The 18,978-nt window shown below is 34.5% G+C and overlaps 1 protein-coding gene across 1 annotated transcript in view; it reads right to left on the bottom strand.

Annotated features, from left to right (window-relative positions):
• PSMD14 (proteasome 26S subunit, non-ATPase 14) overlaps positions 1–18,978 on the bottom strand; it is a 103,293-nt gene that overhangs the window by 80,466 nt on the left and 3,849 nt on the right. Inside the window, exons 2-3 of the mRNA NM_005805.6 lie at positions 14,683–14,815; positions 12,379–12,430 (exon numbers count right to left, since the gene is read on the bottom strand). Coding sequence (NP_005796.1) covers positions 12,379–12,426 — 48 coding nt within the window. The 5' untranslated portion in view covers positions 12,427–12,430; positions 14,683–14,815. The remainder of the gene's footprint in view (positions 1–12,378; positions 12,431–14,682; positions 14,816–18,978) is intronic.

The raw sequence follows: 18,978 nt of genomic DNA, 5'->3' as shown, positions 1-18,978 counted from the left end.
GACATCATCTAGTCTATACAGTAGAAATCAGGAAATGAATACAATAACCAGAAATCACAAATGGGAGAGAAATAACCAGAAACCGTGAAACCAGGTACAAATTAAAGCAAAATCAAAATCATCTCCCTATAGTGATATAGCTATACAATGACAACAAAAATGTATTCTACTAGGTAGTGAAATATGTTGTTTCCTATGAAGTGAAAGTTTTCCTTTTCTATAAAACAGAATGGTGAACTTTTCAAAAACTAGGTTTTGTCATTCTACTGTCTACTTTTGATAAGCATTTTCCTTCTAATAACTCAGGCTCCGTTTACAACACTAGGGAATAGAAAATTACCACAGGCAGGTAAGAATGTAACTGAGTAAAAAGAGGGGAAAATGTACAATGAGTAAGAGAAAAGTACAACTATCATAATTTTTATTATTTTTATTATTTACTCTATTGTCCCTAAGCCATTATGCCCTTCACAGGCATTCAGTCTGCTGAAGGGAAGAGCCTGTGCAATCACGGGCAACAGCTTAAAAAGCAGCACTGAGAGGCTGCCCAGTGGAGACCACTGCCCTGCTCTGGTGGCATACTTTCAGGGCACTCAACCCAGACAACATCCCACAGAGAACCACCTTGAGTCTGTGTTGTAAGAGAATCAGTCCTACCTGCTTGGGTTTTAAATGAATCTGATAATTAGAGAACTTCCCAAATGATAACATGAACTGAAAAATTACAAATTAAATTATGCAAGTTTAAGATAGGAAACCCGAAGATCAATGTGCCAAATAGCAATGTAACCAGTAAATCAAATGTGTAAAACAATGTTGAAGGTAGGGAAAGAAAACACAGATTGTATCTTTGATCATAACGTCCCATACATTTGGAATATTGAGATTATGTTGCAATGTCTTAATTTCCCATATTAGACAGAGATATCTTCTTCTGTCTTCTTTCCCATATACTTTCTACCAAAAATGGTATCAGATGTCATAAATCCATCATATCCTTGACTTTATATTTAAAACTTTAAACATTTCATTACTTTTCACAATTTTTATTTTTTCTTATTTCATCAGAATGTCACTAATTTGAAGGACAGTTTCACTGTAACTGAAAATTTATCACCAATCCCCTTCCATTCTAAGAACTTGAACAAATTTATTTATCATAATTGCATATCAAAATAGAAATTTAGCATTCACAGGTGTCAAAGACCTTTCCTCTCAAAAGACCTATCACAATTAAAATATTCAAACAAACTGACACAGGTTAACTATCATGTACCTATGGAAAATTTATGTCCCTTTTACTTATCTGAGAACCCTCAAGACTAGATTTGAGGCCTCTCAGGAACACCCTATTTTTCACAGAGTTTAATACGTATTCAGAATAATCACACTACAATGACGACTAGAAAGAATATGCTCTAATTAGCTTGCTTTTGACCTGACCCCTTTCTTAATTTTCTATCGTATAAATATCAGAGTATATGAATAGAATGATTAGGACCTATATTTAATAAAATTATAACCTCACAAGAGCAGCAAATAAGAAAAACGTTAAAGGCATCTTGTAATTCTGCTTTGTTTCTAAAGCAAAATCACCATTATTTGTAGTTAAGCTAAGAAATAAAACAATTAAAATTTTTCGACCCTTCTCTACTTCTTAAGAGAAAATGCCCAAATTAATCTACTAATGTTTAGAAAGGACCTTCATAAATGTATAAAGGATTACATCAGATACTCAAAGAAAAAAAAGGTAACCAGAATATTCATGAGCATATAAATACTGTCAATACAGCTAAGCTAAATAATTCAAAGAATATAAAGAAAACCTATGAAAACATTTTGTAAAGGTCTGCTCATTTGCATACTACTATGCCAGTGCTTATAGCAAAAATTAAAGCTTGTATTTATGACAGATGTGACAGATATAAAAAAAGACTAATTGTACACAATGATCTATGATGGTTCATTACATGGCAGGATTGCTCTAGCAGATATAGAATAAAAATAGAACAATAATCTGTAATTTATTTTAAAACATTATTGTGGTAGCTTCATCTTCAGAGTGTCCAAGTTCTTTAAAAATGTAAGTCTGATAAGCATAACTCCTTTGCTCAGCATCTCTAATAGCTTCCCAACTCACTCAGAAGAGAATTTTCTACAGGGCCCTGCAAGATCTATACTGTGGTAACCTCTCTAGTATTATCGCCTTCAAATTAAAGACTGGGAGAGAAAATGGAATACCTAGGTAAGGCATTAAAAAACTACTAAAAAATAAATTCAAATGAATTTCTGACTTTATTTGGTGGCTCTTCTAAAAAGTACTAAAGAAAAATGTTATTTAATGTTATTTAATGTTATTTAGTGTTATTCCATGACTTGTTCTTTTGCTTTAGTTTTATGTTTGTGTACTAAAGAGAGAACATTATAAAGTTGAAGTTCCTTTTGCCTCCCTCCTTTTTTCATGAATTTGTTGTGAGTTATCTAGACCTGCGCTGTACAATATGGTAGCCACTAGCTAGATATAACCATATAAATTTAAATAAAATTAGAAATTCAGTTATTCAGTTAGACAAGATACATCTCATGGACTCAACAGGTACATGTGACTCTTTAAATTTAAGTAATATAACACTTAGAATTCAGTTCTCCAGCTGCTCCAGTCACATTTCCAGTACTTAACAAACATGTGACTAGTGGCTACCGTATTGAATGGTGCAGATATGGACACTTCCATCACTGTAGAAAGTTGTACTAGATACTGCTTCTGTAGAACAACTTGTAATATTTTTACTCAGGAGTTATATAACTCTAAAAAAAGGTGTTACTTTATGTTTTTTAAATTTACATGCTTCCATGTTGTATGTATCTTTTTACAACTGAATTTTTCTCTTACTATGTTTGTAAGGTCTATTATGCATATTGGTATATAGAACCTAGTTCATTCATTTTAGCTGCTGCATTAATTTCATCATAACACATTTAGACATTTAAATATTTTGCAATTTTTAATATACAAACAATGCTTTAACAATATTCTTCAACATGTCTCCTGATATAGACATATAAAAGTTTCCCTAAAGTGAATAAATGGAATTGTTTAGTAACAGAATTTTGGTCATTTTCAACTTTACTAGATATTGTCAAATTGCTCTCCGAAGTGACTTTAACCATTTACCACATATGGTGTGTCCATTTAACATATATTTATTGTCTGTTATTTGCCGGGTAAAGATCTAAGCACTGAGCTATAATTCCTAACCAACATCTCACACACACACACACACACACACACACACACACACACAGCTTACATGAGAATTCCTGCTTCCCCAATTTTCATTAACACTTAATTCCACAGGTTTGTTTGTTTTTTAACTAATCTAATAGTTGTTTTAGTTTTCATTTCCCTGATATACAGTGACACTGACTATCTTTTCATAACTTTTTTTGGCCATTCTTATTTCACATTCTTTTGTTAAATGAGGTCATCTTTTTGTCTTACTTATCTATGGTTCTGCTGAATGAACTACGTGGTGTTGCAGATTAATGTGTTGCCAGTATCCTGTCTTCATCTTTGCTTGTCTTATAAGTTTGTTTCTGTAGTCTTTTGGGGATAATAATTAGTAATATTGTCTTGAGGTAGTCAAATTATGAATCTTTTGAGTTGTGCTTTCCTATCTTGAGGTCATAAAGACATAAAAATTTCTGCCCCAAAAAATGGGGGGATTGGGGAAGGGTATCTGCTATGCACCTGACTAGTTCACATGTGAGTTTATTTAATCCTTATAAAGAACCATCTGGTTGGTATTATCAACCTTATTTTAAAGATACGGTAACTGAACTTTTAAATGTCTTTTTTGTAGTAAATATATAAAATTTGCCACTTTAACTGTTTTTAAGTAACAATTCAGTGGCATTAGGCACATTAACACTGTCGCACAACCAATACCACCATCTCCAACACCAGTTCCAGAACTTTTTTCATCATCCTAAACTGAAACTCCGTACCCATTAAACAATAACTCCCTATTCTCTCCTCTTCCCAGCTCCTGGCAACTACCATTCTGCTTTCTATCATTATGAATCTGATACTCTAGGTACCTCATGTAAGTGGAATCATATAACATTTGTCTTTTGTGTCTGGCTTATTTTACTTAGCAAAATATCTTTTAGGTTCACTCATGTTGTAGCATATGTCAGAATTTCATTCCTTTAAAGTTTAATAATATTCCATTGTATGTACAATCAGCCCTCCATATCAACAGGTTTCTCATCCACAGATTCAACCAACCATAGATAGAAAATATCGGAGGGAAAAAACAATAAAAAATAACAATACAACAATAAAAAATAAAAATGTTTTATATATATTTACATAGCATTTACACTGTATTAAGCATTATAAGTAATTTATAGATGGTTTAATGTATGCGAGAGACTGTGTCTAGGTTATGCGCAAATACTATGCCATTTTATCTAAGGGACTTGAGCAGCCATAGATTTTGGTATCATCAGAGGTCCGAGAATCAATCCCCCGAGGATACTAAGGAATGAGTGTATATGCATTTTATTTATCCATTCATTTGTTGAGGGACATCTGAGTTGTTTCCACCCCTTGGCTATTATAAATAATGCTGCTAAGAATATTGGTGTACAAACATCTGTTGGAGTCTCTGCTTTCAATTATTTTGGGCACATACCCAGAAGCTGAATTGCTGGATTATACGGTAATCCTATGTTTAATCATTTAAGGAATAATAATGTTTTCCATATTATCTGTACCATTTTACATTTCTACCATCAATGTACAAGAGTTCTAATTTCTCCAATCCTCACCAATACTTATTTTGTTGTTGTTGTTGTTGTTTAATTTGGATAATAGCCATTCAAATGGGTGTACCTGCAAAAATTATGAAGTTTGGACTGGGCATGGTGGCTCTTGCCTATAATCCCAGCACTTTCGGAGGCCGAGGTGGGCGGATCAATTGAGGTCAGAAGTTCGAGACCAGCCCGGCCAACATGGTGAAACCCTGTCTCTACTAAAACTACAAAAATTAGCCGGGCGTGGTGGTGGGCACCTGTGATACTCAGGAGGCTGAGGCAGAAGAATCTCTTGAGTCCAGGAGGTGGAGGTTGCAATGAGCCAAGATCATGCCACTGCACTCTAGCCTGGGTGACAGAGCAAGACTCCATCTTAAAAAACAAAAAAAATTATAAAGTTTGATTTCATATTTAGATATTCAATCCATTTGGTACAAATTTTTTTTTGTATAGAATAAGGCAGGAATCTAATTTTAGTTTTCCCCCTTACTGGCTACCACTGCTTCAGCATCATCTAATGAACAGGCCTCTCCTTCTCCACTGTTTTAATGTCACTTATATTACAAACCAAGTTCCCATATATTGATGGATGTATTTCTGGGTTTTTGATTATACTGGTCTACCTGATTATCTCTGCAACAATATATTACTACTTCAGTCATATAGCATTAAAATATGTTTCGAAATCTGGTAGAGCAAATTTCTTTTTCCTTTTTAGGAATTTCTTTGCTATTCTTGAACTATTTTTTCCTATATGAATTCTAGAGTCAGTTTGCCTATTTCCATGAACATTCTGGTTGATATTTTTATTGAAACTGGGTTGAATGTATGATTAATTGGAAAGAATTGGCATGTGGTGATATAGAGTCCTCATCCATGAAAACAGTATTATTTTTTCATTTATTCCAGTCATTTTTTCCATTGCTATGTTAAATTAAACTTCTCTACCAAACATTAGACCAAAACCTGAGACAAACAATTGAAACAACATTTCTGTCCCAACCACCACAATAAGAAACCAGAAAAAGTTATTAGTGAATATACAAAAAATCCATACACTGTGAGGATTTGGGAGTTATAACAAAATACATCCTATTCAATTCATGAATTTTTTTTTATCTAGCCACCGGAAATAATTCTTCAAAATGTACACTATATCTCACCACATTCAGGAAGCCTTCTGGGATCACTAACCCACAGTATTTTTCCCTTATTTTTGCATCCTGAAATTAATGAGGTCTGTACCAGAGATACAAAGTGACAACTTACAGGCATTATATACCCTGCTGCATATGTCCTTAGTTTGGCCTACACATTGTGAAATCATGTGATTTCTGTGTAAAATACCCTAATTTTACACAGAATTTCACAGTGTGAAATCATGTGATTTCTAACTTTGCTTTAAAACTTGCAGGTTGTATGTCATTCTCAATAATGGACCTGGCTAAAAGAGGCTCAATCATCATGATGTTGTTTATTACCAGGGCAGACAAATCACACACTGATTCTTAAAGCTTTCACCTAAAAGTGACCTATTAACCAATCACATTCCATTGGTCAAAGCAAAATCATGGCAAGGCTAACTTCAAAGATGACAGAAAAATATAATCCTGTTATATGCCTGGAAGGTTGAAAGTCACAAATATTCATGTAATTGATGACTTTGCCTTTAATCTCTTCCCCTTTACCTGTTCTCCAAACTACCACTAGAATTACTTTTCAAAAACACAGATCAAATTACCTCACAAGTCTACTGGAAAGAAAAAAAAAATCTTCATACTTCAAAAAAAAAAAAAAGAAAGAAAGAAAATCTTCATGAAACTACAACACCTAGGGGAAAAAAGTAAAAATCACCAAGTATGGCATTCAACACCTTTCATAACCAACTTCAGACTCCTTTACCAACTTCTTTTCCCAGTATTTTCTTATGTATCTATTCTCTAGCCTTTTGAATATGCCTTGACACATATTTCAAAACTCAGCTCAAACATCATCTCCTTAGTCTCATTTTTCCCATTTTTCCCAAGTTGGTCTAATTTTTCCCAAAAGAAGTTAAACTAACCTCCACTGTACTTACAAATCACGTTATTTACAATGAGCATTAGCTTTCACTGATTCAAAGTAGTTAATGTGTACTAGGCACTTAAAACATGATTGCTTGTGTGTCTATTATAATGTAAGGCTCTGGATTAGGCATTGATATTCTTGTTCGTCTTGGAATTCGTTATAGTATATAATACCTGATACACAGAAACTCAAAATATTGACTTAACAAATTAAAACTGAAGACAAGTTACTAAATGCCACTGACATTTTGCTTAAGTTCCATCTACTTTCAAGCTTATATTGACTATTTCCAAAGCTAAAATGAACCCAGGGAGAAATCAAAATTTTTAAAAAGTACAGAATATGCTTTGGCTATTCTCATCTCTTGGGCTCTGTTTCCACTGCTTTTGGAAATCGTTTAGATGCCAAGACCTAGGTGGAGTTGTTATAAAGACAACGAAGTAGCCAAATTATGGCAACATATGTTTTTAATACAATAATCTCATACCTTTTAGTAATTTCAAGTTTGTAAGCATTTTAACAAAGAAAATCTAAAAATACATTTAAAATTTAAAGCTGTTACCTTATAAATTTTAATAGTACTAATAAAACATCTTTATTTCTGCTTCAAACTACTGGTAAGTTAAACTGAAGTGGAGGACTGAGGACAAATTTAATTATTGTAGCCTATCACTATTCAAATATTAACTTTTTTTTTTTTTGAGACATAGTCTCACTCTGTCACCCAGGCTGGAGTGCAGTGGTACTACCTTGGCTCACTGCAACCTCCACCTCCTGGGTTCAAGTGATTCTCCTGCTTCAGCCTCCTGAGTAGCTGGGATTACAGATGTGCACCACGACACCCAGGTGATTTTTGTACTTTTAGTAGAGATGGGGTTTCCCCATGTTGGCCAGGCTGGTCCTGAACTCCTAGCCTTATGTCATCTGCCCCCTCGGTCTCCCAAAGGGCTGAGATTGCAGGCATGAGCCACCAGGCCTGGCCAATATTAACATTTTAAAATGTGATATTAAAAAAAATAAAACTTAGTTGTTTTGTAGGAATGGACACCGTAATGAGAAACAGGAAAAGACAGCATGATAAAAACTAATGGAAAAGAAAGGTTTAAGATAGTAAGTGTGGAATATTGAAGTTTAGTTAAAAGAGAACTAAAAATAGGCCAATAGACTTGGCAGTTTAAAAAATTCCAGTACAGTAATACAGGAGTTGGCCAGAATGCATTCTCATGTGAGTGAACAGAGGTAATTAAGTAGATTATGGAGTTTAAGCTATTATTTCAGGAATTCTAGAAATAAATAGAAGAAAAGGTTTAATGGCAGTATGCAGTAGAGTTTTGGTTTTTGGATACAGGAGACTTAAACATCTTTGTAGGCAGAGAAAGGGGTCAATGGAGATCTGCAGTGTGTCAAGAGAACGAGATCCAAGAACAAGGAAGGAATAGCCTTGGAAAAGAGAAAAGTCACCTCCTATTTAGAGAAAATTAAGAAACTAGAATGAATGGGGACTTTGATTATTTACAAGTTCCTTTTTTACCTACTAGCCCTACTACAACTCCCAAATAAAACAACTAAGACCAAGTGGCCTCAAAAACAATGAAATATCAGTATCAACTGTGATTATAATACTGATATTCCTATATTATTACTGTGAATTCCTCCATTAAAAAAACATGACCAGGCCGGGCGCAATGGTTCACATCTGTAATCCAAGCACTTTGGGAGGCTGCAGTGGGCAGATCACTTGAGGTCAGGAGTTCAAGACCAGCCCGGCCAACTTGGTGAAACCCCACCTCTACTAAAAATAAAAAAATTAGCTGGGCGTGGAGGCTCATGCCTGTAATCCCAGCTACTTGCGAGGCTGAGGCAGGAGAATCACTTGAATCCAGGAGGGCGAGACTGCAGTGAGCTGAGATCATACCACTGTACTCCAGACTGGGCAACAAAGCAAGTCTCTGACTCAAAATAATAATAATAACAATAACATGACCAATTAGCATATAGAGCAAAGCCCAAAGACCTTTTTACTACTACTGGGTTATATTAAAGGCACTGGGACTCAAGGTGGGGTCATGTCTCTTGGAAACAACATAAAAATCAGTATCATAGTACAAGAAAAATTCAAATGAAATACTGAATTGTTTCTACAAATAATGAAGTCAAGGCTGAAAACAAGTCTTTGTTGCGTAATAATCTGGTCTTTATCCTGAGTTTCTGGCACAGAGCCTCAAAAACCCTTGGAGTTTCTTTTGTTATGCTAACACTGTGACTTAGTGCACACCCCTAGATAGCTTGCAGATGAGGGCTGATCAACATAAAGACCAACACGGTAATTAGAGGGCTAAGACTTTGAGCCAGGCCCATTTGGGAAGGGAGGATGGAGATTTGAATTTTGAGTTTGATCACCCAATGATTTAATCAATCAAGCTCATGTATGCCGAGTCCCAATAAAAACTCGGAAACCAAAGCTACACCAGGTGGAGTTCCCTGGCTGGTAAACTCACTGATGTGCAGGGAGGGTGACATGCCCTAATTCCATGAAGAGAGGGCACAGGAGCTCTGCATCTCCTCCCAGACCCCATCCTGTGTGTCTTCATTTCACTGGTCCTCCTAATCTGTATTTCTGGATAACAAAATTGTAATAATAAGCACAGCACTTTCTTGAGTTTTGTCAGTTGTTCTAGTGAATTATCAAACCTGAGGAGGTTGTGAGGACCTCCAAATTTATACTCAGGTTAAAGTGTCAGTCCAAAGTGTGGATGGCTTGGGGACACATGAAGTATAGCTGGCATCTGAAGTAAGGGTAGTTCTGTGGAGAAGTGAGCCTTTAACTTGCAGAGTCTGACAGTAACCGCCAGGTTTGTGTCAATTGGGAGTGAAACAAAATGTCTTCAAGCCAGTAAAGTAGCAACTGTTTGGACACTGATATAAAAAAAAATATGTCTTGGACATTTCGTTCATCAAAATTGGGTTATTCGTATAGATCATGATTTAAGGTGGCCTATTCACTCATAAAATGTCCATGGTTCTTGTTCTTCAATCAAGGAAATAAAATAACCTTAAGGAACTCTCAATCATATGAGGCCTTTACCTGTTCTGCTCCTGTCTACTGCCACATTTTAAGAGGGCCATCTACAAACTTACCAGCAAGTGACCTGCTCCTATTTGGGAGGGAATTCTGCCTTTTCCATTAAATGGTAAGATAACATTTCCCACTGATTTTTGGAGAGAAGGGCCAATTTGTGTCTCCTTTTTTACTACTATTGGTGCCTATGCCTTATCTAATGAAAAGATAGCTATTATCAATCCAAAGATCTTTGACTTCTTATTAAAAATAAATAATAGTCTGGGCACAGTGGCTCACGCCTGTAATCCCAGCACTTTGGGAGGCCGAGGCAGGTGGATCACTTGAGGTCAGGAGTTCAAGACCAGCATGGCCAACATGGTGAAACATAGTCTCTACTATAAATTCAAAAATCGGCTGGGCGTGGTGGTGAACGCCTGTAATCCCAGCTACTTGGGAGGCTGAGGCAGAAGAATCACTTGAACCCAGGAGGCAGAGGGTACAGTGAACCGAGATCATGCCATTGCATTCCAGCCTGGGCGACAGAGTGAGACTCCATCTCAAAAAAAAATTATAATAAATAAATAAATAATAAACAACATTCTTATTAGGCAAAAAAATACACTTAACGTTTCATGTTACAAAAGTAACATCATAAGTATTTGTCAAATTATTCCTATAACAAGATAAAATAAAATTTTAGAGAAAAAGAAAATTACACCTAGTATAGGATAAGGGAGATACCATAAAAATAAGAGTTCCACAAATTAGAGTTTATCATCTAATTGAGATGAAATGATTCTTAAGCAGATTTTTAACTTCAAAAAAGAGTACAAACTAAGGACACAATGGCTGATTAATCAGAAACCAATAAGGTTACTGAAAAAACATTAAGTTTTTCACTTGATATAAAGCTTTGAAGTCGCCATTGACATATAATGTAGCTCAATTTGTGGTCAGTAAAACCATTATTTCATGTCCAGGGGTTTTCCAGCATGGATTTCCAAGATGGGTAATTTATTGTATCTATGCTTAAGGAAAGTTATTTTTATATTTAAATTTGATACAACTTTCCTTAAGAATTCTAAGGCAACATCTTCACCTATAATTTGCAGGTAAATCTGCACTATCTACATACCACCTCTGCTCACTTCTCACATTTTCACATGCCTGAACACTATTACTACTAATTTCAGAATAAATTAGAGAAATTCTAGAAGCTCTCTAGAATGTTTACAAAAGAATGGAAACAGGTTCAGGATCAAGTTCAAAGAGGCTTAGGCCTCTTGAGAGAATGAGTTATACAGGTGTTATAAAAATGAAGAATCATGAAGAAATAGGCTGACAACAAAGAAACATGAGAAATCATCAAAACTAACAAAAGTAAACGAAAAACAACTGAAATCCATCCAAGAATGCAATACAGAATCACAAAAAGATTTCAACTTTATAAAAGTCATAAACCATGATAGACCTAATCAAACAGTTCTTATGAAAGTTCTTCTAAAACACTGAAAATTTCATGAAGTCTGAAACAAAAACTGCTTCTTATAGTAAACACAGATTACTTTGAAGAAAGATGAAGTCACTGATAGCAGTAAGGAAATGTGGGAAAGCTGGAAACTAAAGAGATTTTAAAAGGGACTATAAAAATATTTCTAATATTTGGTCATAAAACAATACATTGCATATATAAAAGTCTTAGGAAGAGAAATACACATAGTCATTTCTTTTGTTAATTAGTATTAACTCAATGTATGACTGCACAGATCGAAAGTGTCGAACTCACAAGAGGCACAAATTCTTGATCTGAAAGCAGATAGACTATCCTGAGGCAGAAATCTAGAGGTCATTTGCCCAACAGCAAATGGAACAAGATAAACAATATTAAAACAACTGAAAGCTTATTTATTTTTTAAAAAGATTATAAAAGAAACCATTTATACCAAATTTAAAGGAGAGAGATTACTTATTAATCCATCTATATATCATAATTACTAGCAGAAATTTACCAGTGTTAAGACTGTACATATAAACATTCTATGGGTCAGTTTTCTGGATCTGGCAAGCAGGATGACATGCTTACTTTTTCTTGTGTTACATCTAAAGTTTACACTGTAAATTCAGGAAGTAAGCTATTTTGAGGGTTTTTTTTTCCTAAAAGCCAACTTTGATAATCCTACATATCTCAAAATTTTAAACAAAGCAAATAACAGAAAATTCTTATTCCCAGGAGAAAAGTAAACTAAGACAATAAATGTTTTCCACATGTTATCTAGTGTTGCAAGATAACAAACATCAATAAGGTAAGATTCTTACCATAGAGTTATCTGTTAGGTGATTTTCTTGGGGATAATTTCTTTCTCTTTGGCTAACTACAAAAAGGCTTGTAGTTTACACACAAGGAAATGCTCAAGAGACTATATACTAACCTGGCCCAGTCCAGGCATACCTCCTCCAAGTCTAAGAAGTCTGTCCATATTTCTAGAAAACAGAAACAAAGAAAAAACGTTCCTAAGCACAAAAATGTTTATTCAATTGCTATCTATATAATTCACCTTCAGTCACTCAGTATGTCAAAAATATTGGTGGTAATTACAACACAACATCAGACTTCCTGTTAATTAACACCACATATTAATTCAAGAAGCTGTCTTCCATGCTAATTAACAGACCTTATTTTACTGCTTTGGTTTTGGGTTATCCCCAGTTTTAAAGACAAGCAATCTTAGCATACTTTCAAAACTTTGCTATCATTAAGTTAATTATATTTTCTTATTGTTATCTAATAAAGTACCTGAATGTAGAAAAAGTGCCTGAAATGCTTATCATATGTATGATTGAATTTCCTTCAATTGGTCCAGAGTGTACAAATAAAAATCCTCACTTTTAAATTAAATTTTAACATCCTCATTAGTAAGTTCTGTGCTAATTAACTTACAGCTTGTCAGTTACCATCAAAACTACATGTGAAAGACATTGTGAGCAGATTATGGATCTCTGAATTAGCATCAAAGGCTTTTAAAAACTGAACTCATTATACTAAAAGAAATACTATAGCATAAACATTAAACATATTAAGATAGTGTTCTAGAACCTACACAGATATTTTGTGTTGTTTCAGATGTTGTAGAGATATATACACCTTTTTCACTAAGGAAATTCAACTGTGCTTCTCAATTATAACTTCAGAGTTAACCAATACAAAGTGGATTTACTATATCAATCTGATTTAGTTTTAACGTTTAGAGTAACTACAGAAGATACTCTTACAAGCTTGAAAACCTCACAGAAGAAGTTAAGAAATATCAAGTGTACTTATATGGCCTTAAATAACAAAAAGAAGTAATCAAATTTTAAAAGTTAATAACAGTACAACTAAGTAATTTAAAAATGACAACAAAGCAATTTTTTCTACTTGAAAATCGCTATGTCCTAAATGAAATTCCTCTTCTTCCTAAGTGTATGCTTAAGAAAATGGTATTATTACAAATTATATTCTAAATTAAATGCTAAGATTCATTTCATCCTTCGTCCATGTTGTTTTACGAGTTCAAATTGCTATATAAACTAAAACTCAATAATGTACTTATATATTATCCCCCACCAATCACCTTTGTTGAATCCTGGTAACAATTTAACAATGTTAATATCGCAAACTTTATTCAAGTCCACATACAGAAAAGAACTTCACTCAAGTGCACATACAGAAAAGAAAACAAACGATATGGCCATGGAATCTTCAAAAGTGAACACATCCATGTAACCATCACCTAGTTCAAGAAACAGAACATTATTGGCACCTCAGAAACGCCACCCAAGCCCCGCTTCCAGTCTATTCCACCCTGCAAAGGTAAAATTCAACTTTCAACAGCACAGATTAGTTTGGCTGCTTTTGAATTTTACATAAACGGAATCATATATTTTTCGTATCTGGCTTGTTTCATGTAACATGTTTATAAGACTCACAATTTTAAAAATTCCTTTTTTAAAATGAAAAGGCATATAAGAAAACGTGGTAATACAGACAAAATTTCCACTTCACGATCTTAACTCATCCTCCTAATAGCAACATTTACAAATAAAATCTCCATCAAATACTCATTGAAATTCCTCAAATCAAATATGGCATTCAACACACAGCACTTTTTAAAGGCTAAAAACGGGGCGGGGGGAATCCTGTATATTTTATAATATTAAAGCAATTCTCTAGAATATATTACCAAAGAAGAAAAAAATTTCTTTTGGACCATTTCAACCTTACAAACTTAAAGAACCAACAGAAAAAACAAACAACATACAGTATACATTAGAATATATATATTCTAGGCCAAAACTGATTCCCAGCTGTGTTCAGTTTATCTATCCCTCTGTGTTGTTTCTGATGACTTTACACAGACTCCAGATGCTGTGAATATATATGAGTGATGCAAGAAGCAGAGAGAAAGAAAATCTGGCAGGTCAAATTTGTTTCTGTAGCAAAATTAGATATCACAGCAAAGAGGAAACATATTTAACAAATTAAAACTTTAAGCTGAGATAACCAGGTTTAATAAAAATACTAACATTTGGTAATGAAGTATATTGATACATATTCTAAATCACACCACTTTTCAAAATCTGGTTATCAATCACATTCATAATTTGACATCTGTTAAAAATAATACATTTTCATACTATCTCTCTATCCATCCGTAAAATAATAATTAAAAGTAAAATACATTTTTAAACCTTACCTGGTCAGTAACTACAACTCTTAAGGTGTTAACCTTCAATTTGTTGAGTTTGACAAATGTCTTCTTAAAGAAAGCTCTTGCTAATTCTGGCAGGTACAACTTCCCCAAGTATATTTTATTTTTTCTTTCTCTCCTAAAAAAAGTAAACAAAATAAAATATAATTATTTTGATAATTTAAGGAGGAAAACTTTATACCAAAATCTTTAAAAGAATCAAAATTCATAAAAATGAAGTAGAAATCAAAACTGTTTTTTAATAATCTTTTTCTGAGAGTATAGAATGATCTCCCTTACAGGGAGCTACAGAGCACAGTGATTAACCCTGTATCCAAATTTTATCTGTATGTTTCTCTCATGAACACTAACTTTGAAGACAGACATTTCAAAACTTTTAGTCTTTCCAGACATCTTTCCAAGAACAAAACAGGCTGGGCGCAGTGGCTCACGCCTGTAATCCCAGCACTTTGGGAGGCCAACGCGGGCGGATCACCTGAGGTCAGGAGTTGGAGACCAGCCTGGCTAACATGGTGAAACACTGTGTCTACTAAAAATACAAAAAAATTAGCCAGGCGTGGTGGCAGGCACCTGTAATCCCAGCTACTCAGGTGGCTGAGGCAGGAGAATCGCTTGAACCCCAGAGGTGGATTGCAATGAGCCGAGAACGCGCCATTGCACTCCAGCCTGGGCAACAAGAGTGAAACTCGGTCTCAAAAAAAAAAAAAAAAAAAGAATAAAATAAAAATTTACTTATATTTTTAAATAAGACAATTCATTCTATCATGTCATTACTGTGTAGGTTAATTGTACATTATTACAAATCTATCAAATAGTATGGAATATTAGTGGTTATTTTTCTTATACCCTGAAAATTTGCTATTTTATCATACTAGGAGGCATTAGTAGTCCATCATTTCTTAATCAACTATTCCAAAAACACTAAAATGACAAGAATATGGAAAATAATGCAATAGTGAAAAAAATTATAGTTATTACATCATCCTTCCATTTTTATTGTGTTGTAGAAAGCACTGACCCATCTTTCAAAAAGATATAGAACACTAGAGACTTCATCTCTGTAGTCTTTTTTTCAGTTTTCATTTAGCACAGTTAAGAAATCAGAATTTTTCATTTTAATAATGGCAAAAGGAAAAAAAGCAACAAAGAAAATGTTTCACATTACTACAAAATCAAAGATGAATGGGAAGGAGACAGATTATAGCACTCTAGTCTCTAATGATGACAATAAAATTAGCCAGGATTTACTAACTTCAGTACTACTGATATTCAGGACCAGATAATTTTTTGTTGTTCGTGGGGCTGTCTTGCGCATCATAGGATGTTTAACATCATCCCTAGCTCCACTAGACAACAGCAGCACCTATCCAGCTGTGACAATCAAAAATGTCTCCAAGCTTTACCAAACGTCCCCGGGGGATAAATGTTTGAAGCCATTCTTGATTGTCTCAAAAATCACTCTCAATTGAGAACCACTGATATAAACAAAATTTCAGACTATGTATCTTGAGATGATAATACCCTAGATTAATTTTCTCAAACTTAAGAACCAATGAGTGCTGGGAACAGTTTGGCAGTTCCTCAAAAAGTTAAACATAGAATTACCACTCGATCCAGCAACTCCACTCATTGGTATATGCCCCATAAAACTGAAAACAAATACTCAAAATAAGTTCATGTACATGCATGTTTACACCATCACTATTCACAATAGCCAAAAGGTGGAAACAGTCCAAATGTCCACCAAAAAATGAATGGATAAACAAATTCTACTATAAACACATATAGGAATATTGTAATATGAAATACTGTTCAGCTATAAAAAGGAATGAAGTACTACTTACTGGTACATGTTACAAGTTAGCTGAACCTCAAAACATCACACTATGTAAAAGAAGCCAGGCACAAAAGCTCACATGTTATGTGATTCCATGTATATGAAATATCCAATAAATCCATAGAGACAGAATGCAGACTGGTGGTTATCAGTGGGTGGGGAAGGGAGGAAAATGGAGAAAGTGCTAAATTGCTAAGATATTTTTTTACCTTGGAATGACAGAAATGTTCTGGAACTAAACTGAGGTGGTAATGGCACACTGCGAATGGACAAAATGATACTAAACTGTTCACTTTAAAATGGTTAGTTTTATATTATGTGAATTTCCCCTTAATAGATTATTTTTTAAAGTGTCAATGAGTGAACAATATATTTCTAAAACCAAAAAAGTGACATTCTTACTCAGTTACTTATTCAACAAGAAAGGACTTCACACAAAATTTTGCAATAACCTGTTTTCTAAAGAGATGTGTCACGTATTTTTTGATGTTTTATGATGTTGATGCAGTTCACACATGGAAAAATGCTAAAGTGTACACAAATGTGAATAAAAGGAAATGGATAATGTAGAAATTTTAAAAATCATTGGACTAATTCTAAATGGTGCCTATAAATCTAAAAATATAAATGTTTTGCAATTATGAAGGAAAGATGGCCATCCTATCTTCAACAAAATTATGAGCTCTCAATGTTTTCAAAAATATTGCAATTGGGAGGATGAAAAAATTCTGGATATGGATGGTGGTGACAGTTACATAACACTGTGAATATACTTAATGCCACTAAACTGTACACCAGAAAGTTAGAATAGTAAATTTTATGTGATGCATATTTTCACATACACACACACACAGGATGACAAATACAAGAACCAGAAGTAATCAGCTAGCGCCTACTAGAAATGTATTTGAAATACAGAACTGATCTACACAAGACAAGTATGTTCTAGGTTCATGCATGATGGCTGATGAGCAGTTCATTCAAACCATGATGCCCATTCAAAGGATGATATATGAAGATATATGTACCTTCAAAACCAAGAAAATACAGAATAAACACTTGTATTTAGGCTGGGCGTGGTGGCTCATGCCTGTAATCCCAGCAATTTGGGAGGCCAACGCAGGCAGATCACTTGAGGTCAGAAGCTCGAGACCAGCCTGGCCAACATGGCAAAACCCTGTCTCTACTAAAAATACAAAAATTAGCCAGACATAGTGGCATACGCCTGTAATCCCAGCTACTGGGGAGGCTGAGGTAGGAGGACCACTTGAACCCAGGAGGTGGAGGTTGCAGTGAGCCAAGGTGGTACCACTGCACTCCAGCCTGGGCGACACAGCAAGACTCCATCTCAAAAATAAATAAATTAATTAATTAATTAAAATAAAAATTTGTATTTGCTATGTTTAAGCTTTACTAACATTTCTAATACAGTTGTTTTTTCACTATCCTTTTATGGTCTACTGGACCTAGATGGTAAATGGCGATGACTAATGACTATTTTGCCTGGTACATGAGAGTCAAGTACTATGACTCTACAGTCAGAGTGCCAGATTCAAATACTGGCTCTGACACTTACAAGTTCCCTGTCCTTGAGTAAATTACCTCTCTCCTCCTCAGTTTCCTCATCTGCAAAATGGAGATCTATCTCACAGAGCCGTTTAGATTAACAAAAACAATGGACACAAAAAAAAACATTTAACACAATGCTTATCATATAGTAAGCATATAATAAACACTAGCTACTGTCATTGGCAACCCCATCCTGAGCATGGCTACCAACACAGATCCTTCTTCCTCACATAGTTTGCCACTTACTGGGTTTCAAAATGCTGGGCATATTTCACATTACTAAATCACACTGGAGATAGGGACTTGCATTTCGCAGAATTTAGCAGAAAGACTCACAAAGTGAATGTGTTATACTTAACATAAAAGGGAACACTTTCAATTCTTAGAAATAAAAGCAATAAAAAGGTCGATGGATCTAAACCAAGTTTTTACAGCTATCAAAAAGTAGAAGACTCAAAAGCTCATTCATGATATAATTAACTTTATGGAAAATATTATCAGACAATATGAATAAAGTGTTTATACCTAACATAATGTCATACATACAATAATATTTAGAATCCTAACTGGTAAAAATAGTACAAAAAAGGTATCAGTACTTTCAAAAGTTGATTACTTTCCACTTTTTCTTTCTCACTTTATGTCTGATTAGAACCTGATATTGCTAGATCATGTCCATGCTGGATTTAAAATAAATCAATTTTTGGCCAGGTGCAGTGGCTCATGCCTGTAATCCCAGCACTCTGGGAGGCCGAGGGGGGCAGATCACTTGAGGTCAGGGGTTCAAGACCAGCCTGGCCAACATGGCAAAACCCCGTCTCTACTGAAAACACAAAAATTAGCTGGGCGTGGTGACGGGTGCTTATAATCCCAGC

This window comes from Homo sapiens, chromosome 2, assembly GCF_000001405.40.
Source record: "Homo sapiens chromosome 2, GRCh38.p14 Primary Assembly".
Classification (NCBI taxonomy): domain Eukaryota; kingdom Metazoa; phylum Chordata; class Mammalia; order Primates; family Hominidae; genus Homo; species Homo sapiens.
The sequence above is the reverse complement of the archived record's forward strand: the minus strand, read 5'-3'. Positions and strand labels throughout refer to the sequence as shown.